Here is a 25126-nt window from a genome sequence, read left to right on the forward strand (position 1 = left end):
AAGATTATTTGAGGGACTATTCCTTTTTATGGAAAAGAGATGAGGAAAATAGAAAATCTAAGAATAACCTTAGCAGGTCGAAAGTTTTGTTTTAAATAATTTAACTTTTTTGTCATAAAAATGAATGGAATACTTATTCGGTCGTCATGGAGAAAGCCTAGCCTACCCATCCTTTTTTTTTTCTTCCTAATATGTGGAGAGCCTGATCCTTTACATTTGCTTATGCTGCTTTGAACATTTTGGTCACAATTTTTATTTTTTATATTCAAAGTATGTAGACCTTGTGACAGTCAGTTGTAGCAATAACTCTTCTTGTGGTCTTTGAAAGATCAAATACAAACCAGGAAAAAATTCTAAATAAGGTTGAGAGTATTTGAATAATTTTCCCCTTAAATTTAGTGGGGTTTGGGAAGAATTGTGTGTTATGAGTTTATGACAACTAAATAATAATTAAACTTCAAATGATTAAACTTTAAATAAGTAAAAGAGAAATAATTTTCGTGCTCCTTGCAATAAGTCAATAGTGTTAGTGTTAAATAGAGCATGAGAGTTCCTTGTAGACCTATTTATAGAGACAAAATTGTTTATGATTTGGTATATACCTTTCCATACTTTTCATGCTCATGTAAGTATATTTTATCTATTTAAATGGAGACATGCTGTATTTACTGTTCTATCATTCCCCTCTTCACTTAACAATATGGGGAGGACTTATTTACACATTTAAAGCTACCACTTTTTAGAAATAGATGTAATTTTAAAAATAATTATGCATGATTAAGATTTAGACTTTTCAAATTATTTTAGTATAAACACTATCATAACAAATATTCTTACTCATATGTCTTTGCGTACTTGTTCAATTATCTCATTAGTATGGGTTCCTAGAACTAGATTTGCTGGCTTAAAGGTGCTTAGGTAGATATTTTATACTTCATGAAAATTTTGGTTTCCACATCCCACAGTAGCATTGTCCTTAACCATCTTTTATGTTCTGTGTTTCTCTAAGTATAAAACTCTAATTGATTTTAAAATCTGCACCCTTTGGTTATTAACAGGTTGGTGGTCTTTTCAGCCATCAGACTGAGCAGGCATTACCAAGCCTATAGCATAGGGTATTTACGTACAGATATCGATCTACAGATATGAATATAGATCATATAGATATAGTTATCAATATGGTTACAGACATGGTTATACACATAGATATAGATTTGGACAAAGACACACATACGCACACACACGCCCACGCGTGCACGCACGCACACACACACATCTTTTCCCAAAAGCAAGTTGTTGTTTATGCTGTTTCATCAACCTAGAAAATTTTATTTTTCGATATTCAACTTTATTCATCCTGAGAAGCTGAGCTCTGATTTCACTCTCCCTACCAAGTCACAGCCATTTTTTATTGCTCCTGTCAGAAATCTCATATTCCTTTATAGAACTTATATGGTGCCTTATACACTCCTATAACATTTATCCTGCTCTGTCTTTAATTTGACTTAGGCGTATGTCAGCTTCAGGATTCATAGATAAGGTCCTTGGTTGCAGGAACCACGTCTGACCTATTTTTTAAATCCACAGATACTTCATGATTTGCCAATATATGTTGATTTGGTGTAGGTACTAAGCCAGTGTTGTGTACATATGGATTTCCATTGTTGTCTGCCACAAAAGGAGTAATTTTGAGAAATGCAGTGTTTTGGAAAAGAATATGAGACATGCAGTCAGAGAATTTGCCACTTAATTTCTGTGTGGCTTTAAAGATGTTCCTCATCTTCTGTGAACCTCAGTTTAATTCATCTGTGAAACTAAGGGAATAACAATATACTTCAAAAGTAGTAAGTGTATCGCAAGTAGTAATGAAGAATAAACAAGATACTGGCTTGACAGTGCTTTGCAAATGTTATATAAACATAAATATAATAATTATATATTATTACAAATAAGATTTCTGAATTCTTACCTCGGTAGAAAGTAAATAAGAAGACTGAGTCTCTGTCTCCCAACGTGTACCCAATGATATGAATCTTAAGTAATCGGATGGATGACAGGATTCCAGATGTAAATTTTGTGACCATATGCATCCATCAGAAATTATTTAGTGAAAACAGAAAGAAAAATAAGCTCACAAATGGGGTTGCACTCTCTTTCCTGTATGATAGAATGGTTAAATTAATGGCTAAATCTAATTAAGAAACTGAAAAATTATAGCTTGCCTGCTGCCAATATTAATCCCAATGGACTGTGAGATAGGGATATGGTAGCACTCAAAAATTACCTCACCATTGTTGAATATTAAGGCAATTTTGCTACCTATCCTTAGAAATAAAACAGCCCTTGCAATTAAATTTTGTAATTTGTTATTGGTTCAAAAATTAATGCCTTTTACTATCATAAATGTATCACCACAGGTGACAAAGCACAATTTTAATTAACAGTGACAGGTAAAGCTCCTTACAGTCAGATTGAATTTATATTAGCAATTATATAAAAATTATATTTTGATCATCACAGTTTTGCATTGAGGCCAAGAGTTCTAATCATATATAGTCCTGCCCCTAACGTTTTGTGGGGCATGGGCCAATATAAAAATTATAAAATAGCTACAAACTGCCAAATATGTCCTTCTACCTTGATAAATAAATATACTTTTATAATGACCCAGAAGCCCAGGTTTGAATTTGGAATCCTCTGACCCTTGGACTCCTGCATCCGACCTTGGCTGAAGAGCAGAAGGCCCCTCCCTTGTTGCCTGATCAGTTTCCTTTTCATCCCCAGCTCAGTGCTGCACCACGGGGAATCCTGTGCTCCACCTCTAGGTAGTCATACTTCTAAGCCCTGTCATCACCACCTCTCAGCCCCAAAAGTCTGTGTCTGAGCCAACCTGCTGGTCTAGGGACGCACACTAGTAATGCATTTGACTTTCAGAGGAAAAGACCAGGAGAGAGGCCTGCATAGACTTTGGACTGGACTCAGGACCATTAGGGCAAGATATCTCAGAGTTTTTGATACGTAAGGAATAGCCTAGAAAAGGTATTGTAAACTGCGGGTGAACACATCCACTGGGCCCCCTAGAATCCTTGTCCCCTGAGGAGAAATACAGGATGGCAGAGAGCTATAGTGAGGCTTTCTGACGTACAGGACCCAGGGGCCCACCTTGCCTAGATGTAGGGGTGGTAATGATCATACATTAAGCATTTGATGATATTTCAGAGATGTCAATTAAATAATGGCTGAAATATATCAGTGATACTAATAAGTTTAATACATTGATTTTCAATTATATATGCTTTAGGAAAAAGTAAAGCTGTATTTTAAACCAATGCGTTATTCGGTATATTAATTTTGTTTTAAAAGTGAGGTTCTCAAAACGTTATTTCCGTGTGTTGTGGTATTATTTCCTTCTTGACATATTTATAGGGAATTTAGTTATTGAGAAATGTAGGTTATGTATGTGAAAGACACAAAGCATACCAAATAATTTAGACACAGACGTAAGTATAGCCATGAGTGTCTGTGTTAGTCAGGAAAGTCTAGGTTTTGTTATGGCAGCAATCACACTAATTTAGTGATTTAAAAATACCGAGGTTTATTTCTCATTTGCGCTGTATCTATCATGAGTCAGCCCAGGGCTCTGTTCTGCAACATGGTCCTTCTAACACTGGAGTTCAGCCAGACCTAGCAGTCACCCTTTTGTTCTTAGAAGTTGTAGTAAAGAGGGAAAAGAGAACAATGGCAAATCTTGCATTACCCATTATGTGCTCAGTCCAGAAGAAATACTTGCTCCTCTGACCATAACTCATTGACAAAAAACAGTCAAAACGATCCTGTGTTCTAGAGGGAGATAGAACCAGAATATTTGTTGATCAAAACTAATGATTAATCTTGTACAGTATACACATGTATGTATCTAGGAAAGCATAAGAAACATCAAGAACCAGCCGGGCACAGTGGCTCACGCCTGTAATCCCAGCACTTGGGGAGGTTGAGACAGGTGGATCACTTGAGGTCAGGAGTTCGAGACCAGCCTGTCCAAAATGATGAAACCCCATCCCTACTAAAAATACAAAAAATTAGCCGGGCATGGTGGTGAGTGCCTGTAATCCCAGCTACTCGAGAGGCTGAGGCAGGAGAATCACTTGAATCTGGGAGGCGGAGGTTGCAGTGAGCCGAGATTGTACCATTGAATTACAGCCTGGGCAACGAGAGCGAAACTCTATCTCAAAAAAAAAAAAAAAAAAAAAAAATCAAGAACCATATGCGCCAAATTGTTCATACAGTTTCCTTAAGGGTGGAGTGCAGGTTACAGCTACATTTTAAAAACTTGGTGTATGCTTTTCAGTACTTTTGTAATATTTGTTAAATTAAGGCTATAAAATAGTCTTTAAAGGTATAAATACTAATGCAATACCCATATATTGAAAATTAAAACCTACTGTTCATCTAATATTAGTTGTACTTTCATATATGACAAAATGGTGATGGACATATCTTTAATTAAGTTTGAGATTCAGTAGACACAATTACTTATGGATTTTTCAAAAATTCAATGAGTGAATATTTATATATTCAGATACTGTAAGAAAATTAAAATAAGCATACCAAAAGATACAGTAGATGATATTAGACTTATATACAATGGAAAAGGACCAGTAAGGTATTCAGTTTGTCCTTCCTTAATTCTATGGGACATTTTAGATTCCGGAAATTCACTACTGCCGTGTTTAACATTTCATTTAGTATTCTATTGTAAGCTGTATTTCCACTCACATTTAAAAAAAAATCTTTACATAGATTTCCCAGGATTTATGCATTTCTTTATAACTTGACTGTCTTGCATAGTCTAATTTTTCAGCATTTAAATATCTAAAATAAGTTTTAAATGCAACGTTTCTGAATTATTTTCTATTGTTACGTACTAAAAGCAAGTCATATTGTTTAGAAGTAATTTAATTTCCTAGGACTTGGTTTATGAATACTTGGTAAGTCTATGCCTGCAACAACCACTGAATGCCCCACAGCACACGAGTGCAATGTCTTTGATAGCATGGGTTTTGTTAAATTAATGAAACCTTAATAATTAAATTTTTAATTGCATCGGGAAATTTTTCATTAACTGAGAATCTTTTAACAATAAAGTTCCTTTTTACCTGGCACACTTTGGAGGCAATGCATACTTTTGGAGGTATCTAATTCAGGCTGAGGAGTCTCAAAGCATAAGAAGACCCAGTCAAGTACCATGCGAGAGTAAACTGGGTAAGAAAGAAGGGAAACAGTCCATAAGAAAACAGATTTCTGTGGTGACCTGGGAGTGCATGCTTCTCTTAAAGGTATTCCAGTTAGAACAATTTTAAAGCATTATTCCAGTGAAACTAAATACTCTCATTGGCAAGATTTGAGTGTCTGTCTATGAGTTTGAGACTCTAGAACTCAGATTCTTGTTTATTACACATATTTATTTATTATTCAATATTAGTCTACACAGGCAAGAAGATCCATAATTGGTCATATTCTAAATTGTGCAAACAGAAAAGACATAAAATCAAGAGATGCAAAATTCCTAGGAGAAAAATAGTATTAATTTTGTGATGGGTACATAGTTTTGTTAACCTCATTTTGGTCATCTTTTGGGTTTAAACAATTCACAATAATATTTCACAGATATCTCACTTTAGATGCTTTATGGCTAAAAACCAACAGTGGGCTTGGTAATTTGTTTCTGGTGAGAGTGAGAGAAAAATCAGTGTGTAAGTTGTTTTCAGTTCAGGGAGAAGTAGGACAATAAACCAAGTCAAAACATGAAGAAACAGAAGTCACCAATGAAACACAGACTATTAAAGCTACCACCTGTTGCAAACTTGTTTCCTTAAATCCAACTAGGATTTAGGGTTTAAATTATAATATTAAATTGGTTTTAATGATGGTTTATAACAGTGTCTTTTGAAAACACTCATTTTTTGTTGTTTTGCTAATGCATAAAAGCATCAAAGCTCATTAGTTTCATATTGCTTGGCTCCAGTCAGCCAAGGGGTTAAAAGAAAAATAGAAGCTGAAAGGACTTCTTTTGCCCGGGAACCTTATCATCATTCTTATCTCTTACCTGTTCTTATGAGGTAAGATATGCACTGAGCATATTGGCTGCTTATGCTTGTTACTGGAATCGATCTACTATGGTGATAATGAGTCATCATGAAATAGCAGCCCAGTTACTGAAGGAGGTAAGGTTAGAGACCAGAACCTGACTGGCAACAAGGCTGTCTGGATGCCTCCCGACACACTCAGCAACAGCTCTTTACGCTTTCCCAGAGTACGGACAGTAGTGTTCCAAGTCTGGAGTGGCAGAGGCCAAGGCTGATCACTAAGTGGGTCACAATGAGCAATAGGAAACTGAGGGCATAGAGCAATACTTGTAATTTTACTTTTGAACCTGATGTTTGTTAAAATCTACAGAGTATTGGGTTTCTGTTTTCAGGAAGCTTTAAAAAGCAAACTAAATACAGATCAGGAAATTCATGGACATACTTCTATGACTGCTTCATAATAATGTATGGGGTATGTAATATGTGCTAACCACTGTGTTGAGTGTTTTTATTCTGCAGTTTTTTTGTTTTGCTTTTAGTTAGTTCATGTAATTATTACACTAACTCAGTGAGGTAAGTATTGTACTTGGATTTCCAGATAAGGATACCAAAACTTTGGGAAGGTAATATGCTTGCTTAAGAGCATATAGCTATGAAGTAATAGAAAGGGGATTTAAATCCATGTCTGTTTAACTTCCAACCCTAAGGTAGCCAGTCTTTGTTAGCTATGGTTAAGCTAATTATACTCAAGATTCTTAACTACTAAGCTTGTCTAGATATTTAGCTCAGTGGTTAAGATTTAGGATCTAGTCAAGGCTGCCTGGACTCAGATTCTGGCTCTGCCACTGACTACCTGTGTGCTCCCTAACAAGTTATTCTACCTTTTTGAAGCTTATGTTTCTTACTGTAAAATGAGGATAATAGTAGAATTTAATTTCTAGGGGCCTCATTAATATTAAATGAGTTAATACACGGGAAGTGCCCAGAACAAGTAGTGCCTAGGAGACATTATTCCTGTCATTATCATTTCTATTATTAGTTATTGAAAACCAACAATTCTACAAATGAAGATTAAACAAAATCCTTATATATAAGTGCAACTAGTTGTGTTTTTTTCTTGAAACTTGAGGCGTTAAAATTTGATTTTTTAAAGATAAAAAAATATACAGTCTGCTAGATAACAAATTAATTGTAAAACTTCAGAACAGGTTGGTTGGGGTACAGAAAAATATAAAAGAGCAAGAAAAAATTAATAAGGAGAAAGGTAGGCATGGAGGAAGAGACAATGAGAGATATGTGTAGTAGCAGCAAGGTCGGAAACAATGATATACTTAAAGACAAAGGGACAAATAGACATTCTAAGAGATTATATTCATCAAGCAATACAGTTAACTCATGATTTCAAATAAACTATTACTTTAAACAAGGTTGCATTTTTATAATTCTGGGCAGACATAAAAATATCCTCTCTTTGTATTTACTCAGATGGAAGCTGAAATTGTTTTCCAAAAAATGGCTCTCACGGCATCATTGGTCAACTTGACTGTGATAATGTGAAGTAAGAATAAAGAAAAGGAGTTAGGTCCCAAGTGAGCAAAAACTAAAAACAAATGAGTAGTTTTTCAGTGTTTTCTTTATGCAATGAAATATTTGTATTATTTGGGTTTACAAATTACAAAGATACATGGCTTCATAACTCGTTCTTTTGTCTTTTAAATTATCTTCATTTTTTTCTTTATCTTTGGGAGCAAAGTGCTGATGAGTTAGTGTGATGTAAGAATAGAAGAGTTAAGAGAAGGAGAAGAATGGCACCAAACACTAGCTTTATGTTCTCAAATTTGGTGCTTAGGCCACTGATAATTGCTATTCTTTTGAAAATATATATGTAAATTATTTTCATTTTTTAAATTATAATAAGCCTATGTTCTGTACAGATATTTTCTAGCTTATTTCACTGTTTACTATATGATTGACTTTGGACAATTATTTAAACTTTGTATATTCTTCATTTTTAAGTTGAAATTAATGATAGTACAGGGTCCTTGTGGGAATTAAGTAGGCTAAGATATGCAAAATGTTTAGAATACAGCCTTATACCCATCTGTACTCAACAAAGGTTAATTATAAGCATAGCTGTTACATGTATGATTACATTCCTTAGCTTACTTTCTATAAAACAAATCACATATGTACCCTATATTGTAGGGTGCATTGTTATGCCTGGAAGATATTTAAAGTGATATATGGCTTTATTGCTAAAGAGTTATGCTTTTTATGGCTGGTTACATCCTAACAAAGTAGAGATAGCTCAAGGATACTAAGAAAAAGGAGAAAGATGAAGGGAAAAGTAGATTAAGAAAGAGGAAAAATAAATGTTTGAATGCAAAGTGTAATAGAAATACATTTGCAACTAGAATTTGAGGTTTAAATTATAACATTAAATTGGTTGTCATGATGGTATATAACAGCGTCTTTTGAAAACATTTATTTTTTATTGTTGTTATATTGTCACCTCAGCTGAGAAAGTCTTGGAATTGGAAATGGGCTCTGAAATACATTTGGTGTTCAAAATGTATTTCCATCATTGGTAGCTACGATTCTGGTTAACCTCTCTGCTTCTTGATTTTCTCATCTAAAGTTGGGGCCACTACTATGTCTACTGCAAAAGTCTTTGGAGGGTTAATTGGGTAATGCAGATAAAGGGCTTAGAACTGTGCTTGACACCATATTTGCCTTCCTTAAGTGTAACTATTATTATATTGGATTAATTCTTAGGCTAGGAGAAATGGTGATGAAAAAGGCACTGTTCTTGGTCTCATGCAGATCAGAAGTCAATTGAAGAAGACCTAAAGAGTGAACAGGCTCTTATGATACAGCTTGAAAATTGTCCTGAAGCTGCTAGAGGTACATACAGGTTGCTGCTAGAGCAGCAAGTTAAGGGGAACCCATTTATTTTAGAGAATGAACTATGCCTTTCTGGAGCAAGTGATCTCTAAACTGGATCCTAGGAGAATGAGATTTAACTTGAAAAGGGAGTGGGGAAGAGTACATCAAAGCTTGAGGGAACTGCAGGTGCCCAGAATGTTTTGGGAAAATTCAAGTACTCTATAGTATTACAGGAGAAAAATGTATGGGTCAGATGAAGAGACTGAAGCAACTGGTAGAAGAAAAGGAGGTAAATGAGCAGGGTAAAATGAGAAGGGTTTTGTCCTGAGTGTTAGGGAGGTTAGACTTTCAGGGATTCTTCAGAGTAATCGCAGGAGAATAAACACAAGAGCTTAGATCTTTAGAAGAGTTCTCTTCTCTGCCTTTTGATATAACATAAAGAGCAGATGGAAGGAGGCAAAGTTTCCAGGAAGGCAACCGCTTTGGAGGTACGTACTGAAATTGTTAGAAAGTGGTTGTAGCCCCTCAAAAAAGGCATGAAAGGTGGGGGAGAGAGAGAAGTGGATGGACTCTATTGTATTTTGGTGGAATCAGTAAGACAATGTTTTTTCACTTCTTAAAATGGGATTACAGGTCTTGGCTTAAATGATTATTTCATAGTCTTTTCACTTGTTTTCCTGAGTAAAGATCTGAACACTGTGCCTTGTTTTTGTCCAGTAAGAATATATGTTACTCATGTTCCATGGCCTTTAAACACTTTCATGTCCAATTCTACAATTATCATGTGGAATATTTCCACTTGAAATGCATTGTTAAGTCTGTGGCTTCAATAGTAAGAGAATAGTAAGCAACATAAATATGCCACTTCTTTTTTCCTTGTTCCATAAGTGATGGGTGATTTTCTTGGCGTGATTCTTCTCTCTTATTAAGAGCTTTAATGTTTAGGATTCTTGTTTTGCACTATTACAGAATCAAGGTAGCGAAAAGGGACTAGTGAGCTATTTCTATGTATCAGGAGGAAGGTTCTGTATCCCTTTTATTACAAACACGTTTTTCTTTTATTTTCTCTTCATTTTCTGTCCATTGAATGGTGTATAGAACTTATTATGCTAGCTGATATCACAATGCTGGGAAAATTAATTTACTTAAATAAATAGCATCAATTTTTAAGCTATTTTCCAGATAGCATCCTGTCTGGTTTCGCAGATAGTTCATTAGTTGGCAAGTATAAACAGTCACAAACTGCTTTAGTTGATAGTTTAAATTTAAAAATAAAATCCTTGTCCTGTTTATACTGTTTTTTGTGTCACAACATTATGAAAACAGGATTTCAGAGTTTTGAAAAAAAAAATTTCATTATTTAGATTTTGATTAATGTATTTCAATTCTTGCTGAACAAAAATATTTAAATAAGATAGAAGAGTTGTATTTTAAATTATTTGGATGATATTAAAAATACCTAATACATAAATATGCTTACAATAACCAGAAATATTCATAAGACAATTCTACCATTCATACAAAAAACTTTGAATTATTTCACGAAATAAAATTGAGCAAATCTGCCACTTTATTGCTTTCCTGTCAAAGCTGGCTGTATGTAAGAGCTGGTAGAGACAGTGAATTTGCACGTTCAGGAAAGCGATTTGAAGGAATTAATCTTTACAAGCATTTCTAATCTGTGAATTTAAACTATTTCTCTATTTTTGGAAAGATGGGTCACAGATTTTGTAGATATATTCATTTTACTTAGACAAATGAGTGCTTGTCAATAGGGTAGTGTTTGTGTGTGTGTATATATACACATAAAATATACCACCTATACATTGTGTTAGAATTTCAATTTGAAACACCATGTATATAATCTTTAAGAATGTAACTCTCTTAAACTTCAGTCCCTTTTATAGCAGACTAAGTGCTGCTAATATACAGGAAGCAAGAGGCAGCAGGGTCTTCACCTCAAAAAGACCTTCGGATTGCACCCCTTTGGAGCTCATCAGAGCCCATTCAGGTTTATCCTGAGGGGTCAGTTGATGCACTGCCTGATACTACTTCTTCCCGGGGGCTGAATGCACAGCTTCAGCGAGACACCCAACTCCTGCTGACTTGAGAAAAGTGTTATTTTAATGATGATTATAATGAGTTTTAGTGTTGCTGGGAGCCAAATGTATCCTTAAGTCTAAAAGAGAAAGCTGCATAATGTAGCTTAGATTATTATTTGATATGTTGGCCTTTTAATTAGGATTTTTCCCTTCTTGATATTCATTTATTGCCTATTGTTCCAAGGTGAATATTTGTCGTGTATCTTGATGAAGATATCGTAGCAACTGAAACACGTTGAATGCACTGAAGGGGTGGGGGGTCTGCCTCATACCGTTTATCCTGACACATTAATCAATGAAACTATAGCTTTGATCCTAGCACCTGAATTCATTTCTAGCATTTGATTTCCTCTCCAGCAGTCATTACAAGTTACTTTTTATTAAGTGACTCTAGCTTTAGAAGATGGCTTTTAGCCACTTTTAAGCCCATCCTTGCACTGCATTGTCATGAGAAGTTGATTAAGGAAACATCTAATAAAAGAAGCTTCAGCCAATTTGGTATGGTGATGCCATAGCAATCCTTAGAGTCAGTGGACTTTGAGAGTGAACTTTTTTGTCTTTAGTAAAAGTTGATGTGATCTGTTCTAAAATGGTTGTGTTTTATTTATTCTGTTGCCAGATTTTAATATGATTGAAAATTTTTTGAAAAAATGTTAGTTTTTATTTTTAAGCTGTTAAGATCTCTTCAGGAAGGTACATTGACTTGGTGCATGTCCATTTTTTACAAAAGAAATGTATATCAAACCAGTTAATATTGGGAGTGCATAAAAGGTTGGAAACTAAAGGTGTTGATCCAGCTTGATTGTAACAGTTCTTCAGCAATGGGAGTCAAACTGTTTTAGCCATGATCCATGGCTAATAACCTATGTTACCTGTGCTTGTAGGTTAAAAGTAGAGCAAAAATTTCACAAAATGATAACCTCAGTACAGGCAATGAATTGTATTTTCTTTTTTATTATAATTGATGACAATTTATTGAATATCTACTGTGTATGGAATATATATAATCTTAGATGCTAGCAAGATAAGAGTGAGTAATGCTTTCAATCTGTATGTGGCAATTTACAGTTATGTGAGTCCTGCAAGCATCAGGAGCCACAAAGTGGTTTAAGAAGTGGTTTATAAACTCTGGCCCTCAGGAGACAATTAAAGATATCAAAATATCTCACGTACCCCATAAATATATAAACCTACTATGTACCCCCAAAAATTAAAAATAAAATGAAAATAAAATGTGCATGATGTAGGTACAAGGGTAAGGGTGCTTATTAGTGATGTAGGTACAAGGGTAAGAGTGTTACAAATTAGAACATTTTCAAACATTTGAGAATGTTAGAACTTCACTCTACATATTTTTTAGTGTTTTTTATTGACATTAAACAACTATACATATATACGGGGCACATGTCATATTCTGATACTTAAATACTATGTGTAGCGATCAAATTAGGGTATTTCGTATATCCATCACCTCAAACGTTTGTTATTTCCTTGTGTTGGGAACATTTTGCCTCTTCTCTTCTAGCTATTTTGAAATATACAATAAATTATTGTTAACTATAATGACTCTATTGTGTTATCAAACACTAGAACTTCCTTCTTCTCTCTAACTATATGTTTGTACCCATTAACCAACCTTTCTTCATCCACTGCCCCCAACCTACCCTTCTGGTAACCATCATTCTACTCCCTACCTCCATGAAATATCAATCTTTTTAGTTCCCAAATATGAGTGAGAACATACAACATTTTTCTTTTTGTTTCTGGCTTATTTCACTTAACATAATGACCTCCAGTTCCATCCATGTTGCTGAAAAAAATGCCAGTCACAAATTAGTAAATCGATTTTATAATCCATAAATGAGTTTCAGTTTGTAAAACACTGCTCACAGCCACAAATTATAATCCTTAGAAGGTAGGTAGGCACACTATAAATTTTGAAAAGTTTCACTCAACTGTAAAAATCTATGACTGACTAAAAAATGCAACAGATTATGATTCTTAAGTGTCATATGACAAATTCTGGTTATGAATATCCTGAGTTAGGCCAATAGATGCATCATCTACTTGTGTGATCCTATTCAATATATGGCTTTATCTGATGCAAATTGTTTCAAAATAAGTGGTAACATGTAATAACTTTTTAAAGAACATTTAAAAATAATTACCAAAAATGTTTATAAACATACCAGAAACTTTCCTGTTTTTAAACAATAATGTGTAGGTTTTATGATTGGTGAACTGAATGTGAAAAATTTTCTTGAATCACTAAATAAAATAGTTTCTTATATTGCTGAGCTATAGTTGAAAGGAACTAACATAATGAAATCCACTTTTCATACCACTGCCATTTTCCTTGCCCCCAAAGTAAATCAGACTGACATGGAGGCTTTCTGAGGACAGGCACCATTCATGTTGTTCAGCCATATTGATCCATTGTTTCCTCAAAGCAAAGCACTATTCCAGGCCCAGTCCCTTGCCACTTGTTAGATATGTTATTGATTCTATGAATATAAATGAATGGATGGATGGATCAATCAGTTAGTGTTAGTAAGACTTGCTCTAGGTAACTGAAAAATGGCAAAAATTTATTTTGATCTCTGATTTTCCTCTCTTTTTGTCTTTCCTGGACTTAGTTTCCTTAGTCAGTAAATGTGCATAGTCTGATACTTATTTTCCTTAAACTCCTTTTTGTGAGTACCTTCTTTCCTGCCCTAAGCTCTAGACCTTCCTTTTGTCAATTTTTTTTAAACAAAAGTGACCGTCCCAGTATCTGGTCCTCAGACATCATTTAGTTACGCACAAACTAATCTGTGTAAAGGAATGAAGAAATCTCTTTAATGGCTTATAGTGTAACTGCTTCCAAGGGGACTTACATCACAATTAGAGCCTACTGGGAGAAGGCGTCGTGTTGCATAGTGGAATTAAGGGCACTGTTAAAAAGATTTGGGAAATCTATTGGTAGATATTTTGTCAGTGTCCCACAAAAAACCTCGTATAGTTGATGTTTGAACTTTTCTCAGAAAATACTGACACTATGCTGGAGACAGAAGTTATTAAGGAATCCTGAAAATGTCAAAGTGTTTATGTGTATAGTATACATATTTTTCTTTCTACAGTCTAGGATAGGGTGTTCTCAAACTGGCTGTAGATTTTGAGGTGTGCCTAAAAGTGCTGATTTCTGGGCCAGACACAGTGGCTCACGCCTGTAATCCCAGTACTTGGGGAGCCAGAGGTGGAAGGATTGCTTGAGGCCAGGAGTTTCAGACCAGCCTGGACAACACAGTGGGACCTCGTCTCTACAAAAATTTAAAAATTAGTCAGGCATGGTGGCACACGTCTATAGTCCCAGCTACTTTGAATGTTGAGGTGGGAGGATCACTTGAATGCAGGAGTTTAAGGCTGCAGTGAGCTATGATCATGCCACTGCATTCCAGCCTAGGCGACAGAGAGAGACTGTGTCTCTAAAAAAATAAAAAAAAGAAAAAGAATTTTTTAAAAAATGCTGATTTCTGAGTCACGATCCAGGCCTGCTAAATCAGGATGCCTGAATGTGGTAAACAAAATCTTTATTTTTAAAATAAACACTCTTGAGAGAGTCCCAAATTTTAAATATTTTGAGGCGGGGGGTGCCGGCGGGGTGAGAATTGTCTGTGATAACTTAGTTGTTTGAAACTTGTTTAAAAATAAGTTTCATTTTTCCCTTATTCAAGTGACCGGAAGGTCAGTTATTTTTTGTCCTGTATTATAAATGGTTATTGATACTGTGTGACATGAAAACAAAGTTTAACCAATAGAACCTTATAGAGAATTCTAGGCAGAGCAACTTCCAGTATATCACACATTATTTGCTTAGGAAGGACAAAATATATTAAATGAGAAGGTGGGAGTGGATATTTCAATTCTGTTTCAGCTCTAGAAACAACATATCTTTCATTATACCATACCTTATTAGTAAGTGAATTCCACTGAGGAGAAAACACAACAAAACTAAACATTTTATTTGTATTGCTATGTGAATACATTTTATATATTCCAGATCTTAACTCTCCATTTGAATCTCCCTACTAGCAGAAGTAAATGAGAGTTTAATATATTCTTTAGACCAATATTATTGGATGCCTATGAAGGCATAGTGCAAAGATCTGGGGATGAAGTAATGAAACAAGAACGTGATACCTGCACTTGCGTGTCTGCTGATAATTTTTAAGGATAAACTTATTTGTAAAATTAATTTTTAAGGTATCTACGTAGAGCTATGATGAGGAGAAGTAAAGAGTATGGAGAGGAAGACTACCGTGGTCTTGAAGAATGAATAAGAGGTAGCTGATCAGGCAAAAAGTCAGGTAGAAGCTTTTAGGCAGAAAGATCAGCACAAATGAAGGCTCTGCTTTTTATTATTTAAAGACTGCGTTTTGAGTGCTCATATGCACACAACGCTATGATCCTAGCCTGTTTTAAAAATTATTTTCCTTTTGAAAGAAGCTGCAAGCCTCAACAATGAAGCCATTATTATGTTTACAAGTTACTTAGGAGAAAGAAAAATGATAGCAATTTAACATTTTACATTATGGCTCCAGTCACCAGGTGAAAATGAGCTTGGTGTTGACTGTCCTCACCGAGGTGACCTTGTGTCCAATCAAAAAGTACATCACAAAATTTGGCATCACTTGTAATTTCTAATATGCAAAAAGATAGCCAGGCCAATCTGAATGTTTTTTGGTATATTGACTAAGGCTCATTTAAGTGTATTTTCTAAGTAAACAAGTAAACGCTATAGATTTTGTTGCACATAGCACTTCTTTGCTTTTTGCTTTCAAATTTCTCAGGTTTGGTCACCACACTCTAAGGTAAAATGTAAACATACGATCATTTATAATAATAGTAACACTAATTATAATAATGTCTTCAGAGTGCTTACTCTGTACTAGGTATTTATGAATTATCACTTTATTTTACAACAACCCATTGGGTTTTTCAAAGACAAAATACACTATACACATTTTATGTAATTATTTATGGAGATTGTTAAAGAAGGACTGGAGATAGTAGGGAGTTTTAAAAGAAAGAAATTTTGTTTATTGCTGCTTAGAAAGCTATAAAATAATTTTTACCATCTTTGCCGCATAGTACAGCCACTAGCACATGACTTATTCTTCACTATGCAGAACCATTTAATCATTTTAATGAATTGGGAAAGTGGCCCCCATTTGGCCAGGAAAAAGAACCAAGTATGCTTTGATGCTGAGAAGGAAGTTGGTGTGACATGATGGGCAACATGAATATCTGCTCGTAAAAAAAAAAAGGGACCCCAGTGGAACGGAGTTACGTATTCAATTATAAGGGTTTTCAAGTACTTCTCTATTTCATGTGTCTGCTACAAAATTGTAAGTGCCTTAGAATGGAGAAACACCTTACATGATGACACCTCTGAGGAATTAGTAAAATAACAGAATTGATTGTAAAAGAGCTCCAAAGTTGGTGTCCACACAATGGGTTGATAGCCTTTGCTGTCTCAGTAACAAGTTCTTCAGTAGCCTTGTGTAAGTCATTAACTTGTATCACATATTTTTCTTTTCTTTTCTTCTTCTTCTTTTTTTTTTTTTTTTTTTTTTAACAGAGTCTTGCTCTGTTGCTCAGGCTGGAGTGCAATGGCGTGATCTTGGCTCACTGCAACCTCTGCCTCCCAGGCTCAAGCGATTCTCCTTCTCAGTCTCCAGAGTAGCTGGGATTACAAGCACCTGCCACCACGCCCGACTAATTTTTGTATTTTTGGTAGAGACAGGGTTTCACCATGTTGGCCAGCTGGTCTCGAACTCCTCACCTCGTGATGTGCCCGCCTTGGCTTCCCAGAGTACTGGGATTACAGGTGTGAGCCACCGCAGCTGGCCAACTTTTTTTTCTTTATCTTCATAAGTGACTTCAAATCTGCACTCATCTATTAAGACATGAGAAACAATAAGGGAAGGTTCATTGTGCAGGCACTGCAGCCACATCAAATCCAGAGTCTGTCACACATAATACCTGCATGACCATGACAAAATTACTTAATCTCCCTTTTCCTCACATTTTTCATCAATGTTTAATGGCAATGATAATATTACCATCATTAATGATAATGTTAATATCATAAGGTTGTTGTGAAGATCCATTTATTCATTTACTTATTCATCAAAATTTTAAGAGCATCTACTATGTGCCAGGCACTATGATGCATTTCAATGAAAGACAGAAAGACAATAAATGAAAGAAAAATAAAAATATAAAACGTGGAAAAATTAATTTGAGATGGGCAAGAATATTTTAATAAGATAGGCAGAGAAGATCTCCTTGATAAAATGACGGTTAAACAGAGACCTGAATGAGGTAAGTGAGATAAGTCCTGAAGCTACAAGGGGACGGGGACATATCACATAGAATGAACTGCAGAGGCAAAGGCTGTGTGACACAAGGGTTCATGGCATTTTCAAAGCGATACTTGAAGGCCATTGCGGCTAGAGCTATGTGAGCAAAGGGGAGAATTTTCAGAAATAAATTTAGAAAGATGTCAAGAGGGCAAGAGAATATATGGGCCCTGTGGAACATTATAAGGATTGGCTTTTACTGCATGTTATCAAATTTAAAACATTTTTCATTGTTAGCTTCATCATTATTTTATGTGTAACTAAGGAACAAAAACTGCCCTGAAAATGATGGCACAATACTTTCTAATCACATAGATTTTTATTTTGTATTTATCTAAAAAGTTTATTTAGTCTTATTTAGACAAAAATTCTTTTATATGCTATGCTGGTCTGCCTCTGTTTCTTTTTACATACACAATAACTTCTCATTTCAATGTTGAATCATAGTGGAAACTTACTGAAGATATTAAATTCAAATGTGTAGTCCCAATAGTGCCTATAATTCAACTGAAGTGATGACCAAGTTTGTTCATATACAAGCAATGATCACTATGTTATAACTGCCACCTGGTTCACGGTGAATATAAGACACTTTTTAATTTTCTATATAAAAATAAGTGTGTATTATAGTCATCTAAATGTGGAATGTAAATGAGATAGAAAGTCAGAGAAGGGTGTTGAGAGAAGAAGTCATGATTTACTTAAAGAATTACTTTTACTGCCATGAAAAGAATAGACTGACTGAAATGCACAAAGGTGCAAGCAGAGAGCTGCCCAGGAGATTTATTTGATTAATGATGATTCAGATAGATGGTAGTGGTTTGGCTCAGAACAGTATCTTAAGAGGTGTCATGAAATGGTCAGATTCTGATGTCTTTTGAAGATAGAAATGACAAGATTATTGATAATTGGATGAAAGGGATAGGAGAAAGAAGTCAGAATAACTCTCAAGTTTTTAGCTTGAGATTGGGAAGACTGCGCACAGATGGGTAGGGATCCATGGGGGTCAGGAGTCTGCTATTGGACATGATACATGTGAACTTCACTATTCGACATTCAAGTGGAAATGTGGAGTAGGTGACTAGAAAATGAGTCTAAAGTTCACAGAAGTAGAATCTGGAGATAAAACTTTAACTTAAAATAACTCCTTCCCTGTATAGATGCTGTTTAATATTATGAAACAGGATGACATCACCTACAATTGTGTTTCTCCATTTTTCACTACTATTCACACTTTTTTTGAGACGGAGTCTCGCTCTGTTGCCCAGACTGGAGTACAGTGGCGCAATCTTAGCTCACTGCAACCACCGCCTCCTGGGTTCAAGTGATTCTCCTGCCTCAGCCTCCTGAGTAGCTGAGATTACAGGCATGCACCACCATGCCCAGCTAATTTCCATATTTGTAGTAGAGACGAGGTTTCACCATGTTACGCAGGCTGGTCTGGAACTCCTGACCATAGGTGATCTGCCCACCTCAGCGTCCAAAAGCGCTGGGATTCAGGCATGAGCCACCATGCCCGGCTACTATTTGCACTTAAAATAACTAGTTCAACCATTGTGGAAGACAGTGTGGTGATTCCTCAAGGATCTAGAGCTAGAAATACCATTTGACCCAGCCATCCCATTATTGGGCATATACCCAAAGGATTATAAATCATGCTACTATAAAGACACATGCACACATATGTTTATTGCGGCACTATTCATAACAGCAAAGACTTGGAACCAACCCAAATGTCCATCAATGATAGACTGGATTAAGAAAATGTGGCACATATACACCATGGAATACTATGCAGCCATAAAAATGCATGAGTTCATGTCCTTTGTAGGGACATGGACGAAGCTGAAACCATCATTCTCAGCAAACTATCGCAAGGACAGAAAACCAAACACTGCATGTTCTCACTCATAGGTGGGAATTGAACAATGAGAACACTTGGAAACAGGAAGGGGAACATCACATCCAGGGGCCTATTGTGGGGTGGGGGAGGGATAGCATTAGGAGATATACCTAATGAATGTAAATGACCAGTTAATGGGTGCAGCACACCAACACGGCACATGGATACATATGTAACAAACCTGTACATTGTGCACATGTACCCTAGAACTTAAAGTATAATAATAAAAAAAGAAAAAAATAATATTTTATATCACCATATCACTAGGTAGCATACAAACATACACTGGAAAAAATATGTATTATTTAATGTAACTTTATTTTATAGGTATGATACATTCTGTTTTTCTTGTCTCATCTTTTCTCTGTTCAAAAGCCAAAAGTTACTACATGTTCCTAAGATTAAAAAACACTAAACCAGAATGGGAATGAGAATAGGGAAGAGATTAGTTCCAAGAACTGAGCCCTGCTTCATGCAGTATGTCCAAAGATCTGCAGCAATGCCTAGCACATATTAAATGCTCAACAAATGTTAGTTTGTATTATTAAAGGGGGATCCCTTCCCCCCAAAATATTACTGATTTGTTTTTATCAACTTCATAGTTAGAGGGCTCACACTACAGCATACAGAAAAAGAAACAGGTATTGCATTAGTTTTCTATGCTGTATAGCTAATCACTACAAGCGTGGCTTCTTAAAACCACATACATTTATTATGTCAGTTTCTGTGAGTCAGAGCTCTGGGTATAGTTTAGCTGGGTTCTCTTTCTCAGGATTCCACCAGATGTTGGCAAGGGCTGCAGACTCATCAGAGGCTTGACGGGGGAAAGATCCACTTCAAACTGCCTCAGGTTGTTGGCAGCATTCATCTCCTTATAGTTTTAGAGTTGAGTTCTCCACTGTCTTACTGGCTGTTGGCTGGAAGTCACTCTTACCTCCTAGATGCTGCCGCTGTTCCTTGCCATGTGACCCTCTCTATAGGCAGTTCAGTGCATGCTCACCTACTTCTTCAAGGACAGCAGAAGAATCTCTTAAGCTCCAGTATGCCCAGCTGGAGTCTTATGTAACATAAATTATAATAGGGATGACAACCCACCACCTTTGTCATAGAACATAACTTAATCAAGGGAGTAAAGTCGCCTTTTCCTTACTCTGTTGGAAGTGAGTCATTTGTTATGCCCCTACTCAGAAGGAAAGGATTCCATAAGGACCTTACTTACTGGGGGTCATCTTAGGGCATGTTCTTCTGCTTGTCTCCTTCTTATCCAAGGTATTCTTCCTGGAACTTGTAGGAAGGAGTAAAATTTTGGTCTTCATCTTGGTTATGAAATAAGAAATCATAGAACAGGGGTAAGAAGACATGAGCACTATTCTTAATACTTTCTGTTTTATCATGGGAATACGGCAAGGTAATTAATCTATCATTACCTCAGTTTTCCCATCTTTAAAATGGCTGTACCAGTATCTTTCCATCATCTTTTCTCACAGGATTCTCAAGAAAATGGTATAAAATATTTTATGAAAAATCAAATTTTGAGCTATAAAGTGTTATAAAACATGACAATACCCTTTATTATTATTATGCTCTGGTTCTCCAACTTTTCACCAGCTGTCTAGAAGGACAAAGCAATGTTATAAATGGCTTGTGGCCTGTCACCTTTCTCTAAACCTTGTCAACAGCAAGCTTTCAAATATTTATTGAAGGAATAACACATGTTTTTCTTCATTTGGTTTATATCTACTTTTGTTCATCAAGGGAGCCATAAATAGTTTTACCTTTCTTTATAAAGTGTGTTTGATTTTTAAAACAGACAACAAGTGTTGTACAGTTTGTATTAAAGGACTACTTTATTGCTTTTTTATTACCTGAAAAATGCAACAAAAGTTTAAAATTAATAACAGTCAGTAGTAACAGGGAGTAGAGATAATAAAAGTTATGTTCTTTGCCTCAGAAGCAACTTGCGATTCACTTTCCATTTCCTTACCAAAAAAAAAAAAAGAAGAAGAAGAAGAAGAAAAAATAATCAAGAACTTCTCTGGTGTTTGTTTAATCAAAGCAGGAACAGAAAAGGAGAGAGAAAGAAAGAAAAAGAAAAACTTTTAAACATAAGGCAGCGTCTATCAATTGAGAAGAGAGTCAGGGATTTGCTTGATTTGGATAGTCCCTCTATCAACAGAAGTTTCATAGCCACTGTTGGGAGGAAAAAGCAACAGTGAAACATCAGAGGGGGAAACAGATTTACTGGGGCATAGCAAATCCTAGTAGGGTTTAAGTATTTCATGGGATCAGTTAATTAGTAAGTGGCAAGCTTAAATGACCGTTCCCAGAAATCTTACCTAACATACAGAGCTGACTTCCCAGGAGAGAAACATATTTTCCTTTGGAGACCAATATCTAGTTTTCAATTATTAAAAAGTAGAAAAATATTTATAAAGCACATCTTTCAATGCTACTCTTGTAAAATAATAGATTCTTGCAAATATCTTTCATTATGCCTGCCACTGACGTGCTAGAGTTGTATGCCCTTCTAGCACCTTAAACTATCTCCTGGAAATAATACTGACACAAAACCTAGACTTGGCTCTCACCATTTGCTGGGCATTTCCAAATGAACATTCTTTTGGTTGGAATTCACTCTAGCAAAAGCCAATTTTTAACCTTTCAGCTCTTGCCCAACCCACACACCTTGCAAGGGCTGTAGGGTCCCAGTCCACAAGTATATATATATACAAATTCTTTATCCTTTATTCATGGAAGGAAACATTCTGGCTCCTTTACAAATCCTTTATAGCTCAGAATTTCGGTTTAAAGTGACTTTTGAAATGAAGGCAGAATTATTCTCTGTATTTTTTGATGCTGCTAAGAAGGAATTTCCTCTTGCAATCAAAAAGAAGTACAGGAAGGCAATGGAGACAATAAACCAGGATTACTGGAGATGGTGTTTCCCACTGAGTTGCAGAAGGAAGTATTTGGGGGTAAGTGAATGGATCAGATCATAAAAGTCTATGCAGCTGATCTGAAGAACGTAGATTCTACTCTAAATAAATGGTGAATCATTGATGGCTTGGGGAATATGAACTGATATGAAAAAAATATAGGGAATTAATCTCTCAGCAGTTTGCCCTATGGTGGGAAAGTCTAGAGGCAAGGGTTAGTTTGAAGGTGGTTATACTCATGTTAGTGTGAGGCACTAAGGTTGGGTAGAATTCGAAGTGAGAGAGAAGAATGGATGTGAGAGATGTGTAGTAGAGAAAAATGACTAGACTTAGTGACAAGATGTAAGTGACAAATGAATAAGACGTGGCAAGACTATGAAAGTCCTAAGAAACATAAAAACAAACTGGTAGAAGATATCTTACAGGCAAATTTTGGCATATGGAAAAATAATGTGTTCACACTACCAGTCTAGGTGGACTTTGCATGTATGTATGGGAGGACAATATATAACAGAGGTGACTACCTCCTTTATACTCCATTGTGTTCTGACCTTTCCCTTGTTTTGGTTAAAGCCACGTGAGCTTTAGAATGGGCTAAATATCTATAGTGGGTTGAATAGTGCCCCCCCTCCAACAATTCATGTCAACCCCACACCTCAAAATGTGACCTTATTTGAAAATTGGGTCTTTTAAGATGTACTTAGTTCAGATGAGTCATGCTTGATTAGAGTGGGCCCTAAATCCAAAGACTGGTATCTTTGTAAGAGTAGAGGTGAACCAGATGGATGCATACGTATAGGGAAGAACAACATGTGAAAAACAGAAGCAGACATTTAAATGAGGCAGCTATAAGTCAAGCAATGCTAAGGATTGCTGGAAGCCCCCAGAAGCTAGGAAGACGCAAAGAAGGATTTTTTTCCCTAGAGTCTTCAGAGGGAGTATGGCCCTGCTGGCAGGTTGATTTCAGACTTCAAGCATCCAGAACTGTGAGAGGATAAATTTCTCTCATTTTAAGCCACCGAGTTTGTGGTAATTTGTTCCTGTAGCCCTAGGAAATTAATAACATATCTGAACTACAGCAAATAATAAACATTGAACCATCAGTATGTGCTAGACATTGTACTGAATACTTTATTCAGATTACCTGATGGAATCTTATTTTGCTGAGATGATTGTCATATACTTTTAAAATGAAAACACTAAGACTTTGAGGGGTTTTATAAACCCAGGTCATACTGGTAGTAATTTTTGAAACCAGGATTCTTAAAATATCAGTTGGACTTAAGAGCCACCAAGCAAGTTATCTCTCAGTCATTCCATCCACTGCTGAGCAATTCCCAGAAAATGTATTTTCAGCTTTAAAATTCTCGAAAAACAAAACAAAACACTTTTTGTTGAGTTCAGATTCATCAATGGATCAAGGATTCCTAACCCAGATAATACTTCTTGTTCCTATGTTTAGACTCCTTGGTCTTCTGTGAGCCTCTGAGTCTTTGGGCATTACAATAACTTCATTTTGTTTCCATCTATCCTAATTCTTTAGGCTTTGGTATCTAAAGATTTTTGTAATCTCTAAAATTATTTTACCCAGGGACATAAGTTGCGTGGATGGTTTAAAATACACACACTTACACAGATTTGAAGTCTTGGTGAAGCAATATGCAAAATTGTAAGCTTTTCTAATGATTCTTCTTAATTTATTATAATGCCTTTGATGGAATGCAAATCTGCAACGTGGAATTTCTGCTGCTTGTAAAAGAATAACATTGCTAAGTTTAATTTTTACGGAGAAATATTGACAGCATTGATAAAAGCTTAAAAATAGCTTTATTGTTATAGTTGTATATATTAAAGGTGAATGCATTGTCAAATGTCCAGGTCACTCACAATATAAATGTGTATGTGGTGGGACCCATACATTGGTGGTTCTGTAATCCAATCATAGAAAATTTTTACTGATTACCAATTTCCATATTCTGTCAAATGCTTCAAAAATTCCATTTTACATTTGCATATCTATTTGTTTCAGATATTTCACCTATGGGACTTAAAGTTTCTGAATAGGTCAGTGAGGCAGAATTTCCTCTTTTTGCCCTCTATCTCTGACTTGTGTTTGGTGCTAGAAAAATGCATTAATTCGAAATACAGAAAAAAAAACTATTTATTGAGTGCCTACTATTGACCAGGTATTATTTTAGATATTGAAAATATAACATTGGAAGGAGTTCAGTGCATATATGCTTATATATTATTATATATCAATATACATGATTATATATAAATTTATCAATTATATTGGAAATACCAGGATACAAGAGAAAGAGTAAAACAAAATTGTAGTAGGAAATATCTTGTAGATAATATCAGTGATTTCAGATCTAAACTTTCATGCCTCATGTTTTGAGGTCTAACACACTACTGCCCCACCGCTCCCCCCCCCCCGCAAAAATAGAATGAAAGCTACAAATTTGCACCACATATGTAATTTTAAAATTTTTTAGTAGCCACACTAAAAGAAAAGAAATAGGTAAAATAGGTAAATGGCCATATTTTATTTCCAAAATATTATCATTTCAACAAGCGATCATTGTGAAAATGAGATTTTTACACCTTTTTCATTCTAAGCATTGAAATTTCAGTGGTATTTTACACTCATTTCAGACTAACCACATTTCAGGTTGCTCAATAGCTGCTTCAAGTAGCTAGTGGTCACTGTACTGGACAGCACTTATCTAATGCCTTGATTGTTTGCCTTGTCTTTTCCATATGAAATGAGAGTATTAAGTAATTCATATCTTTTTTTCCTCAC

At 35.5% G+C, this 25126-nt stretch overlaps 1 protein-coding gene across 33 annotated transcripts in view; it reads left to right on the top strand.

The window, feature by feature from the left end:
* The window catches only part of NLGN1 (neuroligin 1), an 898421-nt gene that overhangs the window by 309623 nt on the left and 563672 nt on the right, over positions 1 to 25126 (top strand). The window lies entirely within an intron of this gene.

This window comes from Homo sapiens, chromosome 3 (assembly GCF_000001405.40).
Source record: "Homo sapiens chromosome 3, GRCh38.p14 Primary Assembly".
Lineage (NCBI taxonomy): Eukaryota > Metazoa > Chordata > Mammalia > Primates > Hominidae > Homo > Homo sapiens.